We start from the raw sequence: 9,825 nt of genomic DNA on the forward strand, positions 1-9,825 counted from the left end.
CAACCTCCATCTCCTGGGTTCAAGCAATCCTCCCACCTCAGCCTCCTGAGTAGCTGGGATTACAGGCTCATGCCACCATGCCTGGCTAATTTTTTCTATTTTTAGTAGAGACGGGGTTTCACCATGTTGGCCAGGCTGGCCTCGAACTCCCGACCTCAGGTGATCCACCTGCCTCGGCCTCCCGAAGTGCTGGAATTACAGGCGTGAGCCACTGCGCCTGGCCAGTATGTTTTAATTCATCGCTTTTTCTCTTTAGTGAATCTATTACAGGTTTTTGTATTGTGGTTAATGTGAGGCTTACAAAAAACATCTTATGGATATAACAAGTTATTTTAAAAGGATGCTAACTTATCTTAGATCACAAAGAAAAGAATACAAACAGACACACACACAAAACTCTACACTTTAACTCCATACCTCCCACATTTTGACTTTGTATTGTTTCAATTTATACATTTTTATAATGCTTGTCTCTCTCTCTCTCTCTTTTTTTTTTTTTTTTTTTTTTTTGAGATGGAGTTTCACTCTTGCTGCCCAGGCTGGAGTGCAATGGCAGGATCTTGGCTTAACGCAACCTCCGCCTCCCAGGTTCAAGCGATTCTCCCATGTCAGCCTCCTGAGTAGCTGGGATTACAGGCATGCGCCACCATGCCCAGCTAATTTTTGTACTTTTAGTAGAGACGGGGTTTCTCCATGTTGGTCAGGATGGTCTTGAACTCCCGACCTCAGGTGATCCACCCGCCTCTGCCTCCCACAGTGCTGGGATTACAGGCGTGAGACACCGCGCCCGGCCTATAATGCCTGTCTCTTAACAGGGTGCTGTAGGTATCATTGTTTTTGATAGACTTGTCTTTCGGGCTTCATATTAGAGTTATGAGTGGGTAGCACACCACATTTACAGTATTAGTGTTTTGGGTTTGTCTATGTACTTAATTTTCCCAATGGGTTTTATACCTTAACAAATTTTCTTCACATTAGTGTTTCTTCTTTCAAATGAAGAACTCCCTTTAGCATTTCTTGTAAGGTAGGTCTGGTCCCTTAAAAGAAATGAGAAGAAAAAGTTAAGAGGTGAATTCTCTCACCCTTTCACCCTTTTTTTTTTGGGAAAGGCTATATCTCTTTCATATTTGAAGGGTAGCTTTGCTGGATACAGTACTCTTGGATGGGAGGTTTTTTTCTTTTGGCACTTTAAAAATGTTGTTCCACTCCCTTCTGGCCTATATGGTTTCTGTTTTGGAAGTCTGTTGCCAGATGAATTGGAGTTCCTTTATATGTTATTTACTTCTTTTCTCTTGCTGCTTTTAGGATCCTCTCTTTGCCCTCGTTCTTTCAGAGTTTTATTCTTATATGCCTTGGAGTAGTTCTGTTTGAGTTGAATCTCTTTAGTGTTCTCTGACTTTTTTGTACCTCAGTATTTATCTCTTTCCCAAGTTTTGGAAAGTTTTCTGTCATTATTTTTTTGAATAAGCTTTCTACCCCTTGTTCTTACTCAACTCCCTCTTGAACACCAATAATTTTTAGATTTGGTTGGTCTTTTGAGGTAATTTTCTATATCTTTTTTTTTTTTGGAACAGGCTCTCACTTTGTCACACAAGCTGGAGTGCAGTGGCACTTGGCTCACTGCAGCCTTGACCTTCTGGGCTCAAGTGATCCTCCCACCTCAGCCTCCCAAGTAGGTGGGACTACTGTACAGGCCATCATGCCCACCTAATTTTTAAAATTTTTTGTAGAGATGGGGATTTCACCATGTTGCCTAAGCTGGCCTTGAACTCCTGAGCTCAAGCAATGTACCTCCCTGGGCCTCCCAAAGTGCTGGGATTACAGGCATGAGCCACTGTGCCTGGACAATTTTCTGTATCTTATAGGTGATCTTTGTTCCTTTTCACTCTTTTTTCTTTTTGTAGTTTCCTCCCTTTGCCTTTGTGTGATTCCTTCTTCTAGACAAGGCTACCATGAACTCGGTTCCTGCTGTTTATACTCGAACAGCCCTTGACCAGCATTTGCCCTTGTATAAATGTAAGGGTGTTCACACCATGAGGTTAACCCTTAGCCTTACACTTCCCTAATGAAATCTCTGCATAAGCACATCAACCTTTCCAATCGGTTCTTTGACTACATAGCTTTCCAACAACCCTGGAATAGGTGGTGGTAAAGGCTCATCATTACATGGAACATGGAGAAGTTGAGGTTGATTTCACTCTTCAGTGAGGACTGAGCAGCCAGTATGTGCCCTGTTCCCTTGTGTGGGAGATATAAAGGAGGCGTCACACCTGGCAGGTCATGCTTCACACATCTGGTAGCTCTGGAGTGGGGGCCTGAACCAGGGCACCTCCCAGAAGTTCTCAGCTCTCCCTCTCTCACTGCATGGGAGGGAGATGTGCCTCATGTCTTTTTGTCAATGCTATGGGTACTTGACAGATGACACTGACCAGATAACTCAGGAAGAGGGCACCACTAGGCTGTGGATTCTTTTTGGTTTGCAGATTAGGTGGGAGATAATGGTGATAATAACTGGCATTCACTGAAGACTTACTATGAACCAAGCCTTGTGCTAAGTTCTGTACTTGCAGTATCTCATTTAATTCTCAAAATAACCTATGAGGTAAGCACTATTTATATTTGAGCCCATTTTACATGTAAACCCATTTTACAGATGAGAACACTGTGGGTTACAGAGGTTGGTAACTATGTCTATGGTAAATGGCTCTCAAACTTTAGCGTACAATGAAATTAGTGGCACAGCTTGTTAAAACAGTGTGTGGGACCTCACCCCCAGAGTGTGATTCCATAGTCTGGGGTGGGGATCAAGAATTTTCCTTTCCAGCAAGTTCCCAGGTTAGGCTGATGCTACTGGACCAAAGGCCACATTTTGAGGAATACTACCCTTGGCCATACAGCTGCGAAGTGTAGGGTCCTGTTCGTTTTCCCCCTAAAATCTATGTTTTTTAAACCACTGCACATGTTGCCTCATTACAAACTTTTCTTTGTAGATTCCCCCCAACCCTGTCCTTGGTGGGAGATGAACTGGGTGAAGCATGCAGCCAGCCTCCCTCTCTTCACTCTAATCATACCTGTAGCTTTCTCTCCTCCTGGGAAGACTTGCCCCAGCCACCCAGCTCTTTTTCTGTATGGCTGTGTGCTATGGTCTGAATGTGTCCACCTCAGATTCATATGTTAAAACCTCATCTCCAATCTCCTGGTGGTATTAGGAGGAGGGGCTTGGGAGGTGATTAGGGATAAGAATGTAGCCATCCCAGAGAGCTGCCTTGCCTCTTCTACCATGGGAAGACATAATGAGAAGGTGCCATCTGTGAACCAGGAAGTGTGCTCTCACCAGACACAGAGTCTGCTGGCAACTTGATCTTGGACTTCCAGCCTCCAGAACTGTAAGAAACAAATTTCTGTTGTTTGTAGGCCACCCAATCTGTGATACTTGGTTATAGCAGACTGGACAGACTAAGACACTCTGTTACCCTGTCAGGAATATCTTCCTAATGACACCATTCTACCATCTCCTCTGTCCTTGATTCTCAGGGGGCATCCTGCTCCTACCCAGTGGATGGAAGGAGCCTACAGGAGTAATTTGATAGTTTGGCTTCAAGGCCATGTGGCTGCTGGTCTTGAGATGATCCTGGGGCTCTTTTGTGCCACTGAATCTGACCTTGTGGTTTCATGCTCCAGATCACATAATGACTGAGGCTCTTGCTTGTGGGTCCCTGACATCAACAGCCAGACCTCTTTTGTACTGACCTCCTGCTCACTGGTATTGACAGGTCTCTTCCTGCTTGACCAGCACTCTGCTTATGCTGGCACAGGAGCTGCCCTGAATACGTTCAGAGTGACTGTGGGCATTCTTTCCTCTGGGGTGCATGTCTAAGGTCATACTCGCATTCTTGGAGGTGGGCTTCCCTTCACCTTCAACCACTACTGTGTCTCCTTGATGATAAGCTACAGGAAAAGAAGAGTAGGGTAACTTTAACTGCACTAATATTTAGTGGTGATCCCGGCACCCCTCCCCTGACAGAGCAAAGTCTCGGGGCTGAACTGAAGAGGTAGTGTGACCCTGTTTTATAGCAGAAAGAACATGCAGGCATTACATGAATACTGAGACCCAGACACCACATGCAGCAGCTCAGGTGCCTAGTGAGGCTCCCACTGCAAAAGGCGACTGTTTCATCTTCAATAAAGCAAACATTAGATAAAGCACATTAGAAGGCCAAGTGACTCATTTCTATTTCTGGCCTTCAGACATCAGTGACCATGGTGACCTCAGGCTGTGGACAGGAAGGATGGTTGAGGGGTTGGCAGTGGTAGGATGGGCCCCAAACCCTCTGCAGGAGACCCTGAACAACTTTGGAAAGACTTCTGACCATTTTTGCCTTGAATGATGACGCACCAGGGCCCTCTGGTCCTTGCCCTCGTTCAGATCTGACTCCTGTGCTCTCGTCTCCGTGAGCTTACCTGTGAGTACCCCTCTTTCCCACCACATTCTCACCAGTTTCTGGATCACTCTCCCAGCAGAACTAGTGGCTCTCCCCTTTGGAATCCCACAGGACTTGGTTCCTCTGCATCTCAGGAGTTTCTTACATTGTCTCATCTGTGGTTGTTCTGCCCGCACCCGACCCCTAGGCCCTAGAGGGCAGGGACCCATTCCCAGTGCTATGCAAAAGCCTGACAGTGATGACTAAAAAGCTACAGGCTGTCACGTAACACTGGGGGCTGCTAGCCCCACCTGAGACCCCACTGGGTTGCCAGAGCCTAGGTATTCGATCCCTGGTTTTCTAGATTTGTCCTGAAATTCAAAGCTCAAGCTACTGTAGCCAAATGGCCACAGTGGGCAGGGAGGAGGCCGGCAGGGGAGGGTAGGTGGGGTGCAGGAGCTCTGCAGAACTGTGCTGGGACCAGAGGACTGTTCCTGACTTGAGCCAGGCTCTGGAAAGCGGAATTTGGTCAGAAGGGAAGGGAGGTATTGGTGGGAGGGGTGCCCAAAGGACCAGCAGTTAGAGGAAAGAGGCCCATCTGGAAGCCCATCTGGGCTGGAACCACCCACCCTTTGGAATGCATTTATGCTAATTAGATACCATGTCTTAAAGTAGATTTAGAGGTTCATAATGTTTTTATTAAAAGAAAAGAAAAAAAAGAAACCATGTCAAATAGGTTTGGGATCTGATGGGCTTTAGGGTGGGAAAGTCAGAAGGCCTGGGGTACCTGATGGAGAGGAAGCAAAGGTGAAATTTGTGGTTTCTTAGGTCAGTAACCTATCTTCTCTAGACTGCAGTTGCCTCTCTAGACACAGCTTTGGTGTTAGGTCTGAGTTTATCCACCAGTTCTTCACAGGCCACTGGGGCCCCTAATGAGGCTCCTGGGGGGTTCTTTCTGGGACATCTGAGCAGGCTCTGGAGTCAGGAGGACCCTGCCAGGTTGTAGCTTGTGTGTCTTTGGGAATGTTGTGCAACCTCACTGAAACTCAGTTTTTCTTACCGTTAAAAAGGGTGTCATGTGCCAGGTGTGGTGGCTCAGGCCTGTAATCCCAGCATTTTGGGAGGCCGAGGCGGGTGGATCACGAGGTCAGGAGTTAGAGACCAGCCTGATCAACATGGCGAAACCCCGTCTCTACTAAAAATACAAAAAAAATTAGCCGGGGGTGGTGGTGCGCACCTGTAACCCCAGCTACTCAGGAGGCTGAGGCAGGAGAATCGCTTGAACATGCGGGGCGGAGGTTGCAGTGAGCTGAGATCACGCCATTGCACTCCAGCTTGGGTGACAAGAGTGAAACTCTGTCTCAAAAAAACAAAACAAAACAAAACAGTTTATTAAGAAAGTAAAGGAATAAAGAATGGCTACTCCTTAGGCAGATCAGTGGCTTGGGCTGCTGGTTGACCATTTTTATGGTTATTTCTTGATTATATGCTAAACTAGGGGTGGATTATTCATTTATTCATGAGTTTTCTGGGAAAGGGGTGGAGAATTCCCAAAACTGAGGGTTCCTCCCCATTTTAGACCATACAGGGTAACTTCCTACATGGCCATGGCATTTGTAAACTGTCATGGGGCTGGTGGGGGTGTCTTTTGGCAGCTAATGCATTATAATTAGCGTATAAGCAGTGAGGACGACTAGAGGTCACTCTCATTGCTATCTTGGTTTTGGTTGGTTTTGGCTGGCTTCTTTTTTTTTTTTTTGAGATGGAGTTTTGCTTTTGTCACCCAGGCTGGAGTGCAATGGCACGATCTTGGCCCACTGCAACCTCTGCCTTCTGAGTTCAAGCGATTCTCCCGCCTCAGCCACCCGAGTACCTGGGATTACAGGTGTGCACCATCATGCCCGGCTAATTTTTGTATTTTTAGTAGAGATACAGTTTCACCATGTTGGCCAGGCTGATCTCAAACTCCTGACCTCAGGTGATCCATCCGCCTCGGCCTCCCAAAGTACTGGGATTAGAGGTGTGAGCCACTGTGCCCAGCCTGGCTGGCTGCTTTAGTGCATCCCGTTTTATCAGCAAGGTCTTTGTGACCTGTATCTTGTGCTGAACTTCTATGTCATTCTGTCACTAAGAATGACTTAACCTCCTGGGAATGCACCCCAGTAGGTCCCAGCCTTATTTTACCCAGCCCCTATTCAAGATGGAATTGCTCTGCTTCAAACACCTCTGATAATACCTCACAGGTTGTTAAGATAATTATGTGGGAAAGTACCTGAGGATGTGCACCACCAGGACTGGTCTAGGAGTTCTTGGACCTGGCCTCCCTTCATTCCTTTCCTCTAGCTCCAGGGAGTTGGTGGTTATGGAGCTACTATGTGGCTCTCTGGCAAAGTTTCTGGGCTCAGAGCCTCAATCCCCAAGCACTGTGGCCTCTCAGAGCCTTTGGCTTGGTGCTTCCAGTCCCCAGTACTCTCCCTGGGGCTCTGGGGTAGGAGGCTGAATGCCAGGCCAGAGACCCCTTTGAGTCCTCATGGCTGGCATCTCCAGGCTGGGGAAGATGGAGAGGGTGCTTGTTTCCCGATCTTTGCAGAGTGGAAACTGGCTCAAGTCCCACACCCTGACTCAGCCACCCAATGTCTTCTGCTTCAAGGTTTCATTCTTTCTGGATGCCATTACCTGTCAGGAAAGGGGACAGGGATTGGCTATAGGTACTTCAAGCTTAAGCCTTGCATTGATTCACATAGGGCCTTAGCTTGCCAGAAAAAAAGGGCCCTGCTTAGAGGTGAATGTACAGGTGTTGAAGATGACATATCGACTCCCTGCACAATTCTGCCAACCCTAGCCCTGATTGTCTTCACTTGTCTACACACAGAGGCTAGGTTGTCAGTCCTGACCCAACTGAAACCAGTGATTCTTGACAGTAGAGAAGATCTTTTCTCTGGCAGGGCATATATTCCAATAGAGCTTCATAAATAGGAAAATCCACCAAGAGTACAATTATAAGAGGTGGAGAAAAGCCCACAGTTAGAGGATAAACTTGAAGGGGCCAACAAGAGAGATTTGTGCCAACAGCAGACATAGCTGTCTAGATACAATTAACAAAGGATTTGAGCTCCAAGCACTTATCAGAGACTCTCCCATGGCACTGCTCATTAAGTTTTATACATGGTAGTTGCTGACCGAATGACAGCACAAAAGACACAGACGGAAGGAAAAACACTGGGAGGAAGTGCTTGTGGAGGGAGACAGGCCTGTGTACAGCCTAGACTGTGGGACAGGTGGGAAGCATTGCAAACAGAAGGCATGGCAGGAAGCCCACTTATGCTGAACACGCACAAAGTCAGTGTCCCAGTCTTTGCGTGTCCCATGGCTATACCAACACATCCCAGGGTTGTCTGCCTTTTGAGTTTTCCCCGTGGCATGACACTCCTAATTCATGTTTAGGTTGTGGCCAACTCTGACTCACAGCTTTTCTTCTATTATTCTTGTACTCAGCCACTTGAGCACCAACCTACACTTGTGGGATATGACTTTCTAGCTCTATTTTTAGAAGAGTAACATCATTCTGAGAATGGAGGGGTCATCTTGCAGTTTCTTCTCCCCATAGTTGTCATGGTCAATCTTTTACATGAAAATTAGATGTGTCACTTCTGTGTTCAAACCCACTGCTCAGAGTAACAGCTAAGTCCTCATCGTGACTCAAAGCCTAACCCTCTCTGAGTTAGTTCCTATCCCTCTCTTTCAGCCTATTTACTCCAGGTACACTAAGCCTCCTTGCTGTCCCTCGAACTATGCCAAACACTCTCCTACCTCCTGCTTCTGCCTTGGTTTTTCCCACTGCCTGGAACATTCTTCACTCTCACTTATTTAAGCCTCTGCTCACTTGTCAACTCTTCAGAGAGGCCATCCTGATATGGGCCAGAGAAAAAAATCACTCACATCCTGCACTCCCTGTCCCCCTCACCTTGTTGTATTTTTCTTCAGAGCACTTCTCAGCACCTGCCATTTTTATGTCTACTTGTTTATTACCTGTCTCTCCCACAAGAATATAAGCACCTTGAAGGCATTTTTTTAACTCACTGCTGTATCAATACCACCTAGAGTAGTGCCTAGCACACAGGTGGTGGTGAATAAATATTTGCTGGATTAATTAATGTCATGAAGACGTTTAAAACACCCACAATCCTCTGTGCTCACAAGACAGCTCTTGGAGGGGCATCCCTGGTAATTCACCTGTGCTTGCTTACCCACAAGAATATCTGCAGGAGCAGGGAACTTCAGCCAGTGCCCAGGTGTGTTCTGTAATCAGAGGCAGGGCCAGGAAAGTGCAGTGTAGGGAGGGAGAGAGTCAGGAGGGAAGGTGGCTACCCCCGGGTTCCATGTGTTTGCCAACTGGGAGGATTGACAGTCCTGACACGGGCAGAGCCATCTCCATGCTTCTCTCCTGCATCACAAGGGACTGCCTCAGACCCTGCCTCTCACAAACTCTCACAAGAGGAGGCTGTGTCTTGTCTGCCTCCAGCTCCCGGGCCCCTGCCACCCCCTGAGGATGACTTCTGGAAGTTCCTCAGCTCATCACCCTCTTCGCAGGCATCCTCTTCACCTCTCAGCAGTGGCAACTGCTGCTCCCCAGGACCTTCTTCCTGAGCTTCTTTTCCCTTCAGTGTGGGGACACTCCTAATTTGCCTCTTCAGTCTTTGACTTCTCCCTTTTGGCTTCCTTTTCTTCTTCCCCTCCCTAAAATGGAAGGATTTCTGTGTCAGTCAGAGTCCAAGCAGGAAAACGATTCCATGCAAGGCATTTCTTACAGAAGGGATGTATTCAGGGAATTGACTACTCCAGTGTTGGAGGGTTGGAAGGGCAAATGGAGATGCTGCAGTGACCAGATATGGTAACTACAGGAGTTCCTTCTCAGGGCTGGAGGGACAGAAGAGAAGAAGTGGGGCCACCAGAGCCTCCAGGCTCAGCCTTGCCTGGCCCATGTTCAGACCACAGAATGAGGATGCATTGTGATGGGGTTGAGCCTCTGGGGCGCTGGTATCTCCAGGAGGTGCAGTTCACCTGCTGCCAGGAGTGTCTGAAGAATTGGGAGCTAGCACGGGCAACCTATTGCCCATAGGCCAAATCCAGCTGCCACCTGTTTCTCCATGGCCCACGAGCTAAGAATGTTCTTCACATTTTGGCCAGGCACGGGGCTCACGCCTGTAATCCCAGCACTTTGGGAGGCCGAGGCGGGTGGATGGTCTGAGGTCAGGAATTCGAGACCGGTCTGGCCAATGTGGCAAAATCCTGTTTCTACTAAAAATACAAAAAAAAAAAAAAATTAGCCAGTCATGGTGGTGCACACTTGTAGTCCCAGCTACTTGGGAAGCTGAGGCAGGAGAGTTGCTTGAACCCGGGAGGC

General features: G+C 47.5%; 2 annotated features.

Moving 5' to 3' along the window:
* Positions 4,035 to 4,329: an enhancer, noted in NCBI's record as "tiled region #10629; HepG2 Activating DNase matched - State 5:Enh, and K562 Activating non-DNase unmatched - State 24:Quies". NCBI's record gives its function as "activates a minimal TATA promoter and a strong SV40 promoter by Sharpr-MPRA in HepG2 cells, with weaker activation in K562 cells {active_cell/tissue: HepG2 | K562}" and the evidence as "EXISTENCE:reporter gene assay evidence [ECO:0000049][PMID:27701403]".
* Positions 7,864 to 8,073: an enhancer, noted in NCBI's record as "active region_8178". NCBI's record gives its function as "activates an Ori minimal core promoter by ATAC-STARR-seq in GM12878 lymphoblastoid cells {active_cell/tissue: GM12878}" and the evidence as "EXISTENCE:reporter gene assay evidence [ECO:0000049][PMID:35858748]".

Source organism: Homo sapiens, chromosome 14, assembly GCF_000001405.40.
Source record: "Homo sapiens chromosome 14, GRCh38.p14 Primary Assembly".
Taxonomy (NCBI): domain Eukaryota; kingdom Metazoa; phylum Chordata; class Mammalia; order Primates; family Hominidae; genus Homo; species Homo sapiens.